Source organism: Homo sapiens, chromosome 15 (genome assembly GCF_000001405.40).
Source record: "Homo sapiens chromosome 15, GRCh38.p14 Primary Assembly".
Classification (NCBI taxonomy): domain Eukaryota; kingdom Metazoa; phylum Chordata; class Mammalia; order Primates; family Hominidae; genus Homo; species Homo sapiens.
In genome coordinates this window covers 99975072-99992212 of record NC_000015.10, presented here as the reverse complement: position 1 = coordinate 99992212, position 17141 = coordinate 99975072, and the positions used below count along the sequence as shown (strand labels likewise).

Below are 17141 nucleotides of genomic sequence, written 5' to 3'. Positions count from 1 at the left end.
CATGTTGGAATTAGTGGCTAGCATTTTTTTTTTAAGTTCTGAGGTACATGTGCAGAAAGTGCAGGTTTGTTACACAGGTATACATGTGTCATGGTGGTTTGCTGCGCCCATCAACCCATCATCTAGGTTTTAAGCCCCAGATGCATTAGGTATTTGTCCTAATGTACTGCTTCCCCTAGCCCCCCACCCTACGACAGTCCCTGGTGTGTGATGTTCCCCTCCCTGTGTCCATATGTTCTCATTGCTCACCTCCCACTTATGAGTAAGAACATGCAGTGTTTGATTTTCTGTTCCTGTGTTAGTTTGCTGAGAATGATGGTTTCCAGCTTCATCCATGTCCCTGCAAAGGACATGAACTCATCCTTTTTTGTGGCTGCATAGTATTCCGTGGTATATATGTGCCACATTTTCTTTATCCAGTCTATCATTGATGGATATTTGGGTTGGTTCCAAGTCTTTGCTATTGTCAACAGTGCCGCAGTAAACGTATGTGTGCATGTGTCTTTATAGTGGAATGGTTTATAATCCTTTGGGTATATATTCAGTAAAGGGATTGCTGGGTCAAATGGTATTTCTGGTTCTAGATCCTTGAGGAATCGCCACACTGTCTTTCACAATGGTTGAACTAATTTACATTCCCCATGAACAGTGTAAAAGCATTCCTATTTTTCCACATCCTCTCCAGCATCTGTTGTTTCCTGACTTTTTAATGATCACCATTCTAACTGGCGTGAGATGGTATCTCATTGTGGTTTTGATTTGCATTTCTCTAATGACCAGTGATGATGAGCTTTTTTTCATATGTTTATTGGCTGCATAAATGTCTTCTTTTGAGAAGTGTCTGTTCATATCCTTCACCCACTTTTTGATGGGGTTGTTTGGTTTTTTCTTGTAAATTTGTTTAAGTTCTTTGTAGATTCTGGATATTAGCCTTTGGTCAGATGGATAGATTGCAAAATTTTTTCCCATTCTGTAGGTTGCCTGTTCACTCTGATGCTAGTTTCTTTTGCTGTGCAGAAGCTCTTTAGTTTAATTAGATCCCATTTGTCAGTTCTGGCTTTTGCTGCCATTGCTTTTGGTGTTTTAGTCACAAAGTCTTTGACCATGCCTATGTCCTGAGTGGTATTGCCTAGGTTTTCTTCTAGGGTTTTCATGGTTTTAGGTCTTAGGTTTAAGTCTTTAATCCATCTTGAGTTAATTTTTGTACAAGGTGTAAGGAAAGGGTCCAGTTTCAGTTTTCTACACATGGCTAGCCAGTTTTCCCAACACCGGGTATTAAATAGGGAATCCTTTCCCCATTGCTTGTTTTTGTCAGGGTTGTCAAAGATCAGATGGTTGTAGATGTGTGGCATTATTTCTGAAATTTCATTTGAAAATTTAGGTTTTGGCTTCGCTATGAAAATGTGGCAACATGGCTCAGGCAGGTAATTTTGCTTCTGCCTGTGCTTTACGGAAGGAAAAATGGGTTTTCCATTGGAAGGCAAAATTTATCAGAATCTGATCCCTGCAGAAATGCTACCACCTTCCCATCAGCCCAAGTCAGAACACAAAGTTCCCCAAACCCTTTGAGTAAAAAAAAAAAAAAAGCCAAATTTCCCAATTCCCAGTTTGCCTGGTAGTGCTAAGGTACCCTATTATTCTGGATTAACAGTGAATTTGAGAAGGACCTAAAACACCTCCTTCCTATTTACTCCCTGGTCAAAACATCTGACCAAGGCAATAGAACTGAGGCTGTCAGTCCAGTTTCCCCAAAACCAAACAGGGACGTCACACAGTTACTTGGATGTTAATAAAGCTTAGTATGGAGCTGCCAGGATGTATCTTTCACTGGCAGAGAAACTTAACTTCAGAGCTCCCACAAAAGATATGTGTGCTTTGGCTGGGCGTGGTGGCTCACACCTGTAGTCCCAGCACTTTGGGAGGCCAAGGCAGGATTGCTTGAGCCCAGAAGTTCCAGACCAGCCTGGGAAACATAGGGATACCCTGTCTCTACAAAAAAAAATCAAAAAAATAGCTGGGCGTGGTGGCACATGCCCATAGTCTTAGCTCCTTAGGAGGCTGAGGCGGGAGGATCACTTGAGCCAGGGAAGTCGAAGCTACAGTGAGCCATTATTGCACCACTGCACTCCAGCTCAGTCAAGAGAGCGAAAAGAAAGATGCACTTCGAACCATGAGAACTTGAACTCACACAATAGAGACATTAAGGGGCTGATTTACAGCTCTGACTCTCTACTTGTGTGCCTTAACCTCTCTTTATCTCTGAAATGGGAATCATAAACACTGACCCTGCCTGTTTCTCAGAGATGCTTAGAGGTTTCAAGATGCTAATATATATGTCTAAGTACTTGGACAACTAAACCCATTTCATTTCATTGCCCAAAATCCACCACCCAATGTTCACACGGTTCTGGGGCACAGTCCCCAGGGTTATAACCCATTCTGATCTGACCTCACCTTGTCTTATCAGTAGGGCTTCTGGCCTTTTATAGACAACACTGAGAAATTCTCTGTCCAAGCACATCCAGACCTAGCTTGAAAACGGTCACTGATCCTAGCCCAAAGACTGTAGGTGAGCTACCAACAGACCAGGTTCTGATCCATAAGTAACACACTGGCAGATGTTCGGGATCATCTGAAGAACTGATGATTACCTCATGCCTGCATGGTTACGGAGAGTCCAGAAGGTGTAGAAGGGGAAGCTGCCCAGCACAGTAACAGGCAGGGTAGCATTGTTTGGACACTGAGTGTTCAGATGTGAACTGGAATAAAGCTGTCATTGTCATCAGGGAATTGGAAGGGTCCTAGCGGTCACGCCCTAAATGCAGCCTGTACTATTGTTGGCGCCTGTGCCCACAGGGGTCCGGGGCAGGAGTGGAGGCAAGAAGTGGTCAGTTCTAGGCTTGGGCCACATCTGCCCATCTGGGGTCGGGGCACCTAGCACTGCTTTCCTTTTTGTGGGGTACCCCTGTGCGTCATGTCACTGGTCCCCTCCAGCCAAGGTTGTCACCCCTGCTGCACAGAAGAGGGAACAGAGGCTCAGAGCAGTTCCGTGACTCGCCCACACCCCCCGGCAGAGTCCAAGCTCCTGGACCCAGTTCAGTGCTCAGGCTACTTGGTGGAAACCAAGCAAGAAGGGATTGGGTAGGAGAGCTAAGGGGCGTCCTGTAGATGGTCTTTGGGCTCCAAGGCCTGGCTGTCCTCAGCATCACCATTCCTGTTCTGAGGACTCGCTGGACACTTTTGCTTTTGTACATACCTTGACCTTCCTGGTACAAGGAGCTGCAAAACAACCAAAACATGAATGGGAATAACATGTGGGACACTCAGCAGCCCTGCCCAAGACCTGGTGCTCATGCATCACGTGGCTCACTCAGCCCATGAGCCTTCCCTCCTCTGCTGTTTGGGGTCCCTCCCTGGCCAAGGACACTGTGCAGGTTTCCCCAGACAGGACCTTCAGCCTTCCGGGAATGCCTGTCAGGTAAGATGGAGCCTTTTGCCTGGCCGTCCTCTCTTCACCAGCCATGCTGTGAAGAACACTTCCAGGCTTTCAGAAGAGTGAGGTATTGGAGTCACTGTGCCCACTTTTGCCACAGCCCGTTTGACAAGCTGTCCCTGCAGTAAGAACAAAAGGGATTTGTGGGATGTGAGGGCCTCTGTGACATCTTGGTTGCTATATTAATCTACTTTGCATTGCTGTGAAGGAATGCCTGAGACTGGATCATTGATAAAGAGGTTTATTTGGCTCATGGTTCTGCAGACTGTATAGGAAGCACCATGCTGGCATCTGCTTCTGGGGAGGCCTCAGGAGGCTTTTACTTGCAGTAGAAGGTGGAGCTGGCATGTCATATGGTGAAAGAGGGAGAGAGAGGGCAGAGGCCCCAGACTTTTTTAAACAACCAGCTCTTGGTGAACTAACAGAGCAAGAACCCACTCATGACCGTGGGAAGGACATCAAGGCATTCCTGAGGGACTCGTGCCCGTGACCCAGACACCTCCCACCAGGCCCCACCTCCAACGTTGGGGGACACATTTCGGCATGAGATTTGGTGGGACAAACACCCAAACTGTATCAGCCACTGTCTGGAGCTGGCATCAGATGGCATCCCATTGTGTGCACCGAGCTGTTATGGAGAGGTCTTAGCAAGGGCCCCCAGCCAGAGCCTGAGCCTGAGGCTGAGCTGGGGGAAGGTTGGTTTTACCAAGCAGAGAGGGCCTGCAGGGACATTAAACTGGAGTTGGCACCATGTGTGTGTATGGTGTACCAGGAGCATGCCAGTGGGGGCTGCATAGACATGAACCAAGAGACCCCGACCCCAACTGTGGACCTCACCACCCACCCTCCTGCTGCCATCACCCAGGAGAGTTGGGGGCTGGGCACCTCCCCACCACCACCACCTGCCCCTCACTACCCTCTCCCCAGATAGAGAAACTTGCCCGTTTTCCCTCTCTGCCTTCTCTGGAGAAGTGGGAAGAATACATTTCCCTAGGGTGGTGGTGGGGACCCCATGTCCTTACTCCCTGGAGACCAGACCTCTCTAATTAGATTCCATGGGATGAGGCTTCCCGAGCGTTTTTGTCTGATTCGGACTGTTTACGTTTGCCGTATGGTTTATGTGTCATCTTTGCTGTCCAGCTTGCAGATGGTGCCATGGTTGCACCCATGGGTTCCACTGCCTTTTTAAACCAGTCACCCAGGGCTTCCTTCCTGTAACCAGCCACCAAACCTCATCATGTGCTGGCATTTGAAGGCAGCAGACAAAGTGCCCAAAAGGAAAGCAGAGAGAAGGCTGAACACTATCCGTGTATCACTGTAGTTGTGGAAGGTTGTTAATGTAACCAGTTGTCCAGTTTCGAGGTCTTGGGAGGCAAACACCGCAGCAGCAGCAGCAGCAGCAGCATGCTAAGCAGGTGTTCCGCTCACTGTGTTGCAGTAGAGGGAGCTTAAAGGGGCAATCTTCCAGCAGATGGAAGCTTCGATATCCCCATCCAAGCAGTCTCCTCTCACTTCACCCCAAGGTGCTGTTGAGAAAGATGAGACTGTTTCCAAGGAGGTGAGGAATGGGCCAGTCCAAGAGCATGCTGCAGGTGCTAGCTGGGGGAGGACGCCCAGGCATGGCTGAGCACTCCTGCCACTCAGAGCCTTGGGGAGGTGGGCAGGCCCCTAGGGAAGATGGAGCCCCTCTCTCCCTGCCCCTAGCCCTCATCCTGACCTTGGCCAGCAGCCAAACCCTAACCAGGGTCGTGTATGAGGGACACACATCACGTTCCCATCTCTGCCTAGGGCACTCCTATCACTCTGGTATGTTTGAAAAATGACCTGCAGCTGCCTTCCCACCCGGGATAGTAGCTCTTTCCAGAAAACAATGCTGATCGTTGTTTTCACCCACTGAATGCCGGGTCTATGTATTCCACTCTGGGGGTGGCGGGCCCTTAAAATTGGGGAGGAGGAAATCTCCTTTCTTTCTAGATAGCATGATTTCTGAGCATTAATCACCACTGAAATGATGGGATGTTTCCAATGAAAAACACATTCTGGAGGGATTATAATGGATGATGTTTTTAAAGAAAACCATGACTTAACAGACCAAGGGAAGAGAACAGTGTTCCCTTATACTGAAAAGAAGAAAGTGATCGTTGACCCCCTGGTGCCAGTGGAAGGGGCTGATCTGACTTGCAAGGCCTCTGAGCACCCTGACAGCCCAAGCCAGCCTTCTTTCTGTGTGTGATGTGGAGATAGCAGTGCCTCAGAGGCCTTTCGAATCAAATGATGCAATACATGTTCAAGGATCTGTGTGCTCTGAGCCCTAGGAGGAAGTCAGGGAGAATCAGTCTGAGGTCAAGTTCATGTGTATTTTGCTATGTCTGTGTGCTCCCCAGAAACCCAGCTGTTAGATGCCTTTCTGTGTTCTAGGCAAGGAGATACAGGCTTGAGTTCCATGACCTTAACAATGAACGAACCTTGTATCACGCGAGAGGGTAGTTACAGACAGTTTTCAATGTGGACACACCATCTCTGAGGCCTGCACTTGCTTTGGTGGGGCCTGAACCCCCCTGCCCCACCCTGCAAGGCCTGCCTGCCTGGCTGTGGCCCCCACTTGCTGTGGGCATGTGGCCAAGCCACTTCAGTTCAGCCGGCATTTCTGGAGTTACTGTTCTATGCCAGACCCTGTGCTGGTGGTACAAGAGTGGACAGTGACTTGGCCTAAAGGGAGACAGACAAGGAGCTGGCTATAGTGGCCCATGCTGAGTCCCACTGGGCAGGTATGAAGTCAGCACTGTGGGATCCAGACAGCCCCTGCCTGGGGAGCCACAGCTGGGGGTGGGTGCAGGTAGAGGGTAAGACTACTTTTATTGGGATCAGTGATATTGGCCCGTGACATTTGCCGTTGCTTTAGAATTTACAAAGCACGTTCCCTCAGGGTATCTCATTGGACCCTCACCCATCTGTCCCCATTTTACAGATGAGCAAGCTGAGGTTCAGAGTGGTGATATGGCTTTCTTCACAGTCATACAACTAGAAAATGGCAGAGCTGGTAATCCACCTTGGCTTCAAGTGCAAGATCATGTCAGAGGCTTAGATTCCGAATTTGAAACAAGAAGGAGCTGAGCTCTAAGATGCTCATGTGGTCGTTATTAAGTCAAGTATCTGTCTGCTCTCTCCCCAGCCCATGACGTCCATCACAATCTGCTCCCCCAAAGGCTTTGAGTCAGTCGTTTACACTTTAGTGTAAATCTCTTATCTCTCTAGGAGATCCTGCATGTTTAGCCTCCCCTTAATTGTGAAAGTAAAAGTTGAGTCCTTATTGAAGAATATTTGACCATCAAAAATCAAGTGCACAAGGCACTGGGGACCCTGGGGCCCTTTTCTGGGACACATGAAACTGTGCCATGGCAGCAGCCAGCACTCTGCATCCAGATCAAGAGAGGCAGATCCTCCATTCACCATCACTCCCAGGAATGTGAGCAGCCCGTGAAAGGCAGTGACCAAAATTCAGTGCTTTTCTGGGCAGGGGCAAAAAGGAGCGGGGACAGACACTTCTTTGGTGTGGAACACTGTGTGTGAGTCCACAGAGCCCGCCGCTGGGCCATCCGTGCTTTACAGAGAGAAGTCCGAGACCTGGGCCATGCTCACATGAGAGCAGTGAGCTTGCTGAAGAGCAGCGAGGTCCCAGGAAATTGCCAGGAGGGGTGGCCGCGGGGAAGTGAGGCGGGCCGCAGGGCCATGCCGAATGGTCCAAAGGCCAGTGCCTCCATCTCCTGGGTCCCCTGCCGTCCCTCCATTTGCTCAGTGTCCCTTGTCAAACCAGCCGCCTTTGCAGGGAGTGAGAGATCAGAGAGCGGGGAAGCCTGGTCATCCCATGCCCCGTCTCCACCACAGTCTAGGTTCTAATCACTGCCTGCATGTGGCTGGTAAGTCAGAAGACATCATCCCTAAGGAGTGCTTTTTTGTCATTGACCTCAGAGCAGGGCAGGTGGTTAAGACAACACAGGTTCACAACCCAGCCCTACTGCTGTCCCCATCTCACCTTGTGTGGGCATCATCCGCCATCAGATGAGTTTAGGGGTAGCCCTCATAGGGCTGATTGAGGAGTGAATGGCATCCAAGCATAGCATTCACCCCAGTGCTGGCACAGGGGAAATGCCCAGTAGGGGCTTTTGATCATCGTTATTTTCACAATCACCATCTGGGGCAGTCATCAGCCTCTTCTCTCATCAGAATCTCATTTCTTATATGGGCCTGTAAAGTGTTCACGTGTTCGAAGAACAGTCCCTCGAGTGTGCTTCAGTCCCCATAAATGGTGCGTTCCGTGGTTGGGTACCCACACGTGATGGCGGCATGGCGTGGGGCAGCTGTCTCACTGCAGCTTTTGCAGTGGATGGTGGGAAGCAAAGTTACCCACAGGGAACAGCTCCAGCCCCAGGAAAGAGGATGAGAGCTGCCCGCAGTCTCCTCTGCGCTTCAGTCCCCAAGAGCTCTGGAGGCGACCCGGCCCCTGCAGGCCATCGGGGGTCACCTCAGCCTCCTGGTTCCCTGGCTAGAAGGTCCCAGCCACAATATGCAGGTCAGCAGGCCGCGAATTCAGAGGAAGGAGGGACCCCTGAAGCTGAGACTGCCGGGAAGAAAGCAGGCGTCGCAGGGGGCGTGGGAGGGGGTGTCTGGGAAGCATTTCCTGTTTCCCAGCGACGGCACAGGGAGTGGGTGTTTTCACTGTTGTCTAACACTCTGCTGTTTCAGGTTTCAACCGCTTCCGAGGTTTTCCTCGCTCATGCCAAGTCTCGGGGAGAAACCTGCTCAAAATGCTTTTGAAGAGCTTTGACATTTCACCAGCCAAGCACCTTTTCAGTAGAAACTGCAGTTACTGTCAGGATTCCGTCAGTCTCTTTCTTTGCTATCCAAAACCAGCCTGAGGCAGGCTGGCCCCTCAGAGACTCACTCAGTGGGGACGGGGGTGGATTCATTGTGCTTTGAGAGTTCAGCCTTGCATGATTTCACCCCATCTTGGGCTTGTGCTCACCCCAGACCCAGTGCGGGGAGACAGTGGGGGGCAGCCCTGCCTGGGCCACTCTGCAGGAAGCAGAGCCCAGGCGTGTATAGTTGACATTCCTGGAGTGTTTTCCTCTTCCTGAGAGCTTTACAGCCTCCTCTCGCTAATTCTCAAAACATCCTGTTGGGATCTGGTGTTATTTACAGTTGTGATTTTACAGCTGGGAGAAGCTAGGGGAAGGGAATCCCGCTGTGGGGAAGGATGTCATCAGGGTAGGGGTGATGGAGACCTGGTTCCTCCCCTGTTGGGGGTGGTACGGGCAGGTGGGGGGCAGGGGCAGGCTAGCTGTGTGGCTTGGGAAGACTTACATGGACGCTCTGAAACCTCACATTCTGCCTCTCTGAAAGGTGGCGCCGCATCCCCAGCAGACACCACTTATTGAGCACCTACTGTGTTCTGAGCTCTGGCCACGGCAGCTGTCAGTGTGAGGATTAACAAGCTCGTACGTAAGCCCGGTCCCCCGTACACAGCAGACAGGCAGGTGGTGGGCCCTGCTGCGACGGTGACTGCCGTTACTGTTATTATTAAAGAAGCTAGTAACGCTTGCACAATGTCTCAGTATCACGCTGGTCTGGGGAACCTAACACCTTTTCTCTTTTTGCCGGAAACTCTACCTAAAGGAAAATCTCTTTTACACAGTAACTTCATGAAATAATTTGCACACAAAAAAAGCACATGAGTAAATCCAAATTGAACCTCTTTTTGCCCTTTGTGCATCAACAATTTTGTTCCTGTTTTTTCCAGTGACACCCCCTCCCTGCCTGGGAAGGGTGGTGGACAGATGCAGAGGCTGCCTCTCCACCGGGCAGCCAGCTCCGACGCACAGCTGTGGGCACCTGCTGGGGAGGGGGCTCCACTCACTTCAGGTTTCCCGGCAAGGAGCTTTTCAGCTAAATTTATTGCTGCCCCCATTTCTCTCAGTTACCTGCATCTTGGGAAGCCACATGAAATTGGATGTGATGAGCCCCTTGACAAAAGGACCAAACAAGACCAGATATGTTTTTTATAGATCTGTTTGCTTGGATGATTAAAGCCTGAAAAATGGCTTCACAGCAATGCTTGGGGCAAATTCGATGCTATCAGGAGACACTACAGTCTCCTCACTGTTCAATTAACGTTGAAGCCTTAGGGGAGGCCGACAGAGAAGGAATTCACCCCGTGCGCCCACCATGGCCCAGCTCAGGTTACGAGGGTGTCGTTCAACAGCAGCCCCTTCAGACCTGTCTGGAATCATGTTTGTCTTCAGGGCCAAAACAGCCTCTAATTGTGCTCCCTGAGGTCTGGCTGCCTGATCAACTCAGGGAGCCAGGCAGACAGGGCTGTGTGCACCTGCCTGTGGAGGGCCTGGTGACCGAAGGGCAGCCCAAGGAGTGCTAAGGGAGTGGGCCAGGTGACGCAGTGTGCCTTGCTGGGCTGCAGGAGCTCCCTGCCCAGCTCGCTGTGGCGCTTGGCCGTGCATTCACTGTTGAGAATAATAACAGCAGGATTTGTGGAGCTCCACTCTATCTGAGACCCCCGGCTAGGCTCCTATTCCACACTGCCTCTACTGCAGGAAACAATTCTACAAACAAGAGTTTGTTATCCTCATGCTGCAAATAAACTGAGGCTCAGAGAGGTTAAGTCATTTGCCTGAGGTCACACAGCTAGTAAGTGGGGACGTAGCATGCCAACAGGCACCCCTTCCCCCTGCCGCCTGACACCCCGCACTGCATGGCCTCTCCATCAAAACTCTGCTTTAGGAGAGTATATTACCTGTGGATTTTAGGCCAGGGCAGGCCTGGCAGCACCTCAGCTCAAATGAAAATGCAGCTGGTTAGGATGGTGGGCCACCAGCAGGTTACACCAGACTCATTGGCAGAATTCTCCAGTTTTATTTTTAATTATATAAGTAGCTCTTACTATAGAACACACTAAAAGGAAAATTAGTCCCAGAAACCATATGATGACATGGTAAATTTTTATAACGGTTTGTCTTCCAAACTGTTACATAGGTATACACACATCTATATTAAACAAAAACGGGGTGGTTTCTGTACATGCCACTTTGTAACTTGTCTTCTCACCTAACACATGGAAGCATCCTCTAGGGGGCTGGCCCAGACACAGCTCCAGGCAGTTAAGCAAACACCCCAAAATTCTCAAAAATTCTCCCAGGTGAGTCAGAGCCACTCATAGCCCACAGCTGTGTGAACAGTGCCCACTAGGACTCCAGCTAGAATTAAGCAAACCCTAATTCTGATGAGAGTAAAATGCCTACAAGGGGCAGAGCCCTTGGGACCACCTGCCCTCAGAACTGCCTCACACCTGGCCCTGCCTCATGGGGGCACTAGTGAACAGTGAGAACAGACACCTGTCCCTGTTGAAGGACTTTGGAGACACCCTTCCATGATCTCATGGAGCAGTTCTATTTATAGACTGGAAAATTAAAAGCCAGTGACCCATGCTAGGAAAGATAATGAGTAAATGGTGGAGATGGGCAGTGACCTGGTTCTTTGATTCCCGCTTCCGATTAAAGCTCCATTCAGTACAACCTCTTATTCACATAGGAGGGTGGAATTCATTCCATGAGATGGGGTCCCTGGACCACTCGCCACTCCTACCTCTGCAACTTTGAGCAAGACGTGGACCCGTGCCAACCTCAGTGGCCGGCATCAGCCCTGAGGATTGTTGTGGAACGTTCCGTGCTGCCGTGGAGGCCTACGAGGGGTCCACTGGGAAGAGCAGGCATACCATCTGCATATGCTGGAGACGTGCCACATGTCAGCCTTTTCCCCTCGGCCCCAGAGCAGGCTGCACAAGACTAAGACCTTTCAGAGGGGACACGTCTGCAAGGTCACCTCAAATGCCTGAGTTTTACGATGGTCATTGATCATTTCCAGGCAGAAACCTTGCCAATGCTGCACTTGGTTTTAATAGACGCACAGGGTGAAGCCCTTGCCCTTGTGTGATTTTCACATACATATCAGCAACACTCGCAGAAGAAACGGAAGCCCTTCCTGGCACTCCTGCAGGGCTGAGCCCCTTAACAGCAGTGATTCAGTGGGACTGACTCCCCAGCTGGCAGGGCACGGACACCTCTTCAGGAGATGCAGGGGAGTGAGGCGGGTTCCTCCATCCATCTGTGCAGTTTCCTCCCCAGAAATCCAACAGCCCCCTGCCCCATGCTCCTCTCTCCAGAAAGGAATAGGAGGCTGCCTGCCTTTCCCTCCTGGGTACATGTTTTGCAGTAGAGGCGGCACTGTGGCCAATGGCCCGAGAAAAGATCTGAAGAGAAAAGGGATGTTGGTGTTGCCTGCAGGTCGGCAGGCAGCAGGTGTATCTCTCTGTTTTTAGTTTTTACTTTTTTGAAACAGAGTCTTGCTCTATCACCCAAGCTGGAGTGCAGTGGTGCAATCTCAGCTAACTGCAACCTCTGCCTCCTGGGTTGAAGTGATTCTCCTGTCTCAGCCTCCCAAGTAGCTGGGATTACAGGTGCTCACCACCATGCCCAGCTAATTTTTATATTTTTAGTAGAGACAGCGTTTTGCCATGTGGGCCAGGCTGGTCTCGAACTTCTGGCCTCAGGTGACCTGCCCACTGCAGCCTCCCAAAATGCTGGGGTTACAGGTGTGAGCCACCGCACCCAGCCCTCTGTTCTTAAGTGGGCCTCATACGTGCCAAATAGTCACAGAAATTAACCCTGATTATATGGTAATCCCGTTTTCCCAGGAAGCAGGGTTTCTTTTGAATTACATAACACATTTAGATATAAAAGTCTCTAGTGATGTAAGTGGACTCATCAAATGCCTGCCATTAAGTAACTTATTGATGTAGTTATACATTCATATTTAAAGTTATGCATTATAAACATTCAAATTTAGAAATGTTGCTATTTTCCTTGGTATGTTATAAAATGGAGCCTTATGAAATGGATGCTTTGAGGTCAAAACAGTTGAATAGAAGCAGTTTTGTGTGGTGCAACCTGGTGATTGTAGTGTTGGTCTCATCGTCACCAGCTCCACTTTGAGTCGCCTGTCGGTTTGCCAGAGGGCACGTGGTTGTATCTGACTTCACTCAAATGCTGCCCTTTTTTCAGTCTGTCCCGCTCCCAGTGGACCACTCGCGTGGTTTTGCAGGGGATTGGCGTGACTTCGCTCTGCGTTTAGCGTTCGGCTCCGTGGCTTTGTTCCGCATTGGGAACGTTGGCTTTTCCCTTCATCTACCACATTTGTGTGGACTCTCAGTTTCTGGGTACAACTACTTACCAGATTGCTTTTGTAAGTGATTTTTTTTTTTTTTGAGATGGAGTCTTGCTCTGTTGCCCAGGCTGGAGTGCAGTGGCACGATCGCAGCTCACCACAACCTCCACCTCCTGGGTTCAAGCCATTTTCCTGCCTCAGCCTCCCGAGTAGCTAGGATTACAGGTGCACGCCACCACGCCTGGCTAATTTTTGTATTTTTAGTAGAGACAAGGTTTCACTATGTTGGCCAGGCTGGTCTCAAACTCCTCACCTCGTGATCCGCCTGCCTCAGCCTCCCAATGTGCTGGGATTACAGGCGTGAGCCACCGCACCTGGCCTCTAAAAAGAATTTTGACTGAAAGCCTTTGCTCCCTTACCTTTAGGCACACCTGTCATCTGGCTATAGACTGCAGTCAGGGCTGCGCCTGGATGTTGTTCTTGCTTAATTATACATATTTGTGTGTGCAGAGACACAACTACTCCTTAACAGGAAGAAAAGAGAGCTCTTTGCATTCTCCACAGGGACCTGAGAGGAGGTTCAGGTTAAGTCGGAGGCCCTCGGTTCTGAATGCCCACTGCAAGCACTTGGAGAGCTTTATAAACACTGAGCTCTGGGTCTTGGGACCCCCTCCACCATCGGATTGTATTGGTGTGGGATTTTTCAAAGCTCACCAGGTAGCTGCATGCAGTAGATCCCAGTGTGCAGCCAGCTTCCTCCAAGGTGCCCCCAACACCAGCAGGGCGGGAGTCGCGTTGCTGTAGCACCTGTCTTGTGTTCAAGGCGGGAACTTCCTTGTGTGACTTCATCCCTCAACCTCAGCACTCCTCAAACTTCCATGCGCCTGATGCCGACTCCTGAGGTCTGGGATGGAGCCCTGAAATCTGCATGTGTAATGCATGAATTTGAAAGGCCATGAGCTGCCTCCGAAGGGTTTATCTAAGAAAAGGAACAAGGCATGAAGTGGGGAGGCCCTAGGGTTGGCCTGGCCTCTCGGGTCAGAGCCCGGGTTCCAGTTTGAACGTGCCGGGGGCCCACTAGGGAGCTGCTTATAGTTTTCACACCTCCTTTGTGAGCTGAAAAAAGCAGTGCCCCTTTAGAGCAACATTCCCTCTGAATGTTTATCACTCTAAAGTGAAAAAAGACACACAAAACCTGAACCTGCTTGTCAGGCAAGGAAGCTGAGGAATCCACCTGGCTTGCAGAAGCCCCCCTGGGAGCAGACAGCCCTCCCAGGCACAGATGGGACACCACCGCCTCCCACGCAGCCTGTGTCTGGAGACTCCGCATGACCCCCAGGAAGGTCCTTTCTCCAGCAAGGCCAGGGTCAGGACCAAGAGTGAGGACACGGGAAGCACAGGATCTGCGGGGCACCTGCCTCCCTCACCACGTGTGGCATTCAGAGAACAAGGCTGCGCCCAAACCCTCCACGCCCTGCTCCCCTCTCTCCACCCCAGGTGCCATTCCTAGCTCCAGCTCGGCTGCTGTACCGGTTTTGCTGACTGCTCTCAGAACCCTGTAAATCAGGGGTTGTGTGGGCTCTGGTGGACACCAAAGTATACTCATGGACCTGGCTGTCTTCCTGGGAAGAGGCCAATGTAAGGGAGAAGAGACCATTCCAAGGGCTCCTGGGAGAAAGCAGGGGCCGAAAAGCTCAAGAGCAGAATCTGAGTAGAGGACTCAGATACCTGGCCAGTTCCTACCTGGGAAATGCTTTAAGGAGTGTGAAGAGACACCAGGCACGGTGGCTCACTCCTGTAATCCCAGCACTTTGGGAGGCCAAGGCGGGCAGATTGCCTGAGGTCAGGAGTTCAAGACCAGTCTGGCCAATATGATGAAGCCCTGTCTCTACTAAAAATACAAAAAAATTAGCCAGATGTGGTGGCAGGTGCCTATAATCCCAGCTACTCAGAAGGCTGAGGCAGGGGAATCACTTCAACCAGGGAGGTGGAGGTTGCACAGTGAGCCGAGATTGCGCCACTGCACTCCAGCCTGGGTGATAAAGCGAGACTCCATCTCAAAAAAAAAAAAAAAAAAAAAAAAAAAATTATATATATATATATATATATATATATATATATATATATATATATATATATGAAGAGGAGGGACGGAGAACAGAACCACGAAGTCTTAACCGGGTCCACTCCTTGGGAATTTGGGGGCCTCTGCTCAACTATGTTGACCAGGTTTTAGCAAACACGGCACCTCCTCATGCTGGGGCTGGAGATGCCAGCAGCCAGGGATGTCTAAATCAACACCGTCAGCCACATGTTAGTGCGTGACTCTGGTATGCAAGAAAGGTTGTACTTTGTTTTCTTTTACTTAATTCTAAGCCCCAATCCTCCAGGCTTGTGGGAAATTCAACCCCAGTCATTACTGGGCTCTTCTCCATGCCCAAGACTGGGCAAAGGCCCCGGAGCCTCAGGCAGCAGACAGTGCTTGGGAGACCTCTGTGGTCATCAGGCCCGGTCCTTCCTGGGGGCCACCAAGCCATGCTGCTCACCATCTCAAAAACGTCAGAGCCTGGAGCAGAGGCGAGCGGTGGAATGCAGCTAGCATGAGTTAATATTTCAGCTGTTGTCTTAACATCTTAGTCTCCCCTGGCTGCTGTCACCAAGTACCGAAGCCTGGTGGCTTAAACATTTATTCCTTACAGTTCTGGAGGTGGAGGATCAGAATCAAGGTGCTAACAAATCCAGTGCCTGGTGAAGACCCTCCCCGATTTACAGACCACGGTATCCTCTCACGGTGGAGAGCCAGCAAGCTCGGGTCTCTTTCCCTTCTCACACTATTCCCAGCATGGAGGCTCCACCCTCATGACATCTAACCCTACTCACCTCCCAAAGCCACCCACCTCCACGGCTCCAACATCTGCATTTTGCAGAGACACAAACATGTATTCCATAACATCTTGAAACAGTCTTCTATCAGGCAGCTGCTGTTTTTGCCCTGAATGATTGCAAGTGCCTGGGCATGACACACAGTGCCCAGCCCAGGGGCAGCCACATTGTGAGGCCATCGTCCCAGCCCCCTGACCTCGTGTAGGCCCCACTCAGGCTGTCCTGTCTCCGCAGTGCCACATTGTGAGGCCATCATCCCAGCCCCCTGACCTCGTGTAGGCCCCCACTCAGGCTGTCCTGTCTCCGCAGTGCCACATTGTGAGGCCATCATCCCAGTCCCTTGACCTCATGTCAGCCCCACTCAGGCTGTCCTGTCTCTGCAGTGCTCGTCGACCTGCGGGAAGGGCCTGCAGTCCCGGGTGGTGCAGTGCATGCACAAGGTCACAGGGCGCCACGGCAGCGAGTGCCCCGCCCTCTCGAAGCCTGCCCCCTACAGACAGTGCTACCAGGAGGTCTGCAACGACAGGATCAACGCCAACACCATCACCTCCCCCCGCCTTGGTGAGTGTCTTCACTGGCCCCGGTTCCCAGGGGGCTGCTGTGTCTCCTGCCCAGTAAGTCCTCCCTGACGGTGAGGTTCTTTCAGCCAGAAAGCCCCTTCTTGGGCCTCACTTGTCACATAAGGCTGACATTTGTCAGTTCTGTAGAAGAGGTTTCAGAGATGGATTCCATTCCTTGTTATGGAAGTGGTGTTTGCTTACTGCTGTCTCCAACACAGGCACCTGAGCGTCTCCCTCACCCCTTTGCCCAACACAGGAGAATGTTCCACAGACACTGTAGGTTTCCTGTGCATGAGGAATGTGAAGGGAAGTGCTTCTTTCTAGAAATGAAAGCTCCAGGGGCATCCTTCATGATGCCATGAGGATGCACACATGGGGCACACCCCAGGCTGATGCTTGAGCAGCAGACAGGCGTGGTTGGAGGGGCTGCAGACTGTGTGAGTGGTTTGGCCCTGGGTGCTCGGAACCTGGCCTCTTACCAGTTCATGCCCCAGGTCAGTGGTGATACAAGGAGAAGAAGAGCACTTAAAGATCTGGCTGGTTGTGGTGGCTCATGCCTGTAAATCCCAGCACTTTGGGAGGCCGAGATGGGTGGATCACCTGAGGTCAGGAGTTCGAGACCAGCCTGACCAACATGGTGAAACCCCTTCTCTACTAAAAATACAAAAATCAGCCGGGCGTGGTGGCGTGTGCCTGTAGTCCCCACGCCTCAGGTGACTGAGGCAGGAGAATCGCTTGAACCCAGGAGGCAGAGGTTGTAGTGAGCCGAGATCGTGCCACTGCACTCCAGCCTGGGCAACAGAGTAAGACTCCATCTCAACAAAAAACAATGATATGATGATTCCTTTTAACAGAGTTTCTGCTTTGCTAAATACAAGTCCCTGAGAAATATTTTCCTACCTGAGGCTGGAAACTCACCAAAATGAAGGGGATTTCTAGTATCTTTGTTCCGGGGGAGGCCTTTGAGCTGGCAG

General features: G+C 50.9%; 1 protein-coding gene and 1 long non-coding RNA gene across 11 annotated transcripts in view, besides 4 other annotated features; one reads left to right on the top strand and one right to left on the bottom strand.

The window, feature by feature from the left end:
- The window catches only part of ADAMTS17 (ADAM metallopeptidase with thrombospondin type 1 motif 17), a 370539-nt gene that overhangs the window by 349763 nt on the left and 3635 nt on the right, over positions 1 to 17141 (top strand). For all 10 annotated transcript variants that reach the window (NM_139057.4, XM_005254872.4, XM_011521312.3 and 7 more), the window contains one exon: positions 15991 to 16168. In NM_139057.4, the coding sequence (NP_620688.2) occupies positions 15991 to 16168 (178 nt within the window). The remainder of the gene's footprint in view (positions 1 to 15990; positions 16169 to 17141) is intronic.
- Positions 7586 to 8563: an enhancer, noted in NCBI's record as "H3K27ac-H3K4me1 hESC enhancer chr15:100523855-100524832 (GRCh37/hg19 assembly coordinates)". NCBI's record gives its function as "activates a minimal SCP1, AML or CMV promoter by ChIP-STARR-seq in naive H9 embryonic stem cells {active_cell/tissue: H9 hESC(naive)}" and the evidence as "EXISTENCE:reporter gene assay evidence [ECO:0000049][PMID:30033119]".
- Positions 9542 to 10520: an enhancer, noted in NCBI's record as "H3K27ac-H3K4me1 hESC enhancer chr15:100521898-100522876 (GRCh37/hg19 assembly coordinates)". NCBI's record gives its function as "activates a minimal SCP1, AML or CMV promoter by ChIP-STARR-seq in naive H9 embryonic stem cells {active_cell/tissue: H9 hESC(naive)}" and the evidence as "EXISTENCE:reporter gene assay evidence [ECO:0000049][PMID:30033119]".
- On the bottom strand, positions 11439 to 15990 carry LOC105371022 (uncharacterized). The gene is made up of 2 exons (XR_001751713.2): positions 15622 to 15990; positions 11439 to 13703 (listed from the first exon to the last, which is right to left on the bottom strand). It is a non-coding gene; the product is annotated as an uncharacterized LOC105371022 (long non-coding RNA).
- Positions 15330 to 15925: an enhancer, noted in NCBI's record as "H3K27ac-H3K4me1 hESC enhancer chr15:100516493-100517088 (GRCh37/hg19 assembly coordinates)". NCBI's record gives its function as "activates a minimal SCP1, AML or CMV promoter by ChIP-STARR-seq in naive H9 embryonic stem cells {active_cell/tissue: H9 hESC(naive)}" and the evidence as "EXISTENCE:reporter gene assay evidence [ECO:0000049][PMID:30033119]".
- Positions 15926 to 16521: an enhancer, noted in NCBI's record as "H3K27ac-H3K4me1 hESC enhancer chr15:100515897-100516492 (GRCh37/hg19 assembly coordinates)". NCBI's record gives its function as "activates a minimal SCP1, AML or CMV promoter by ChIP-STARR-seq in naive H9 embryonic stem cells {active_cell/tissue: H9 hESC(naive)}" and the evidence as "EXISTENCE:reporter gene assay evidence [ECO:0000049][PMID:30033119]".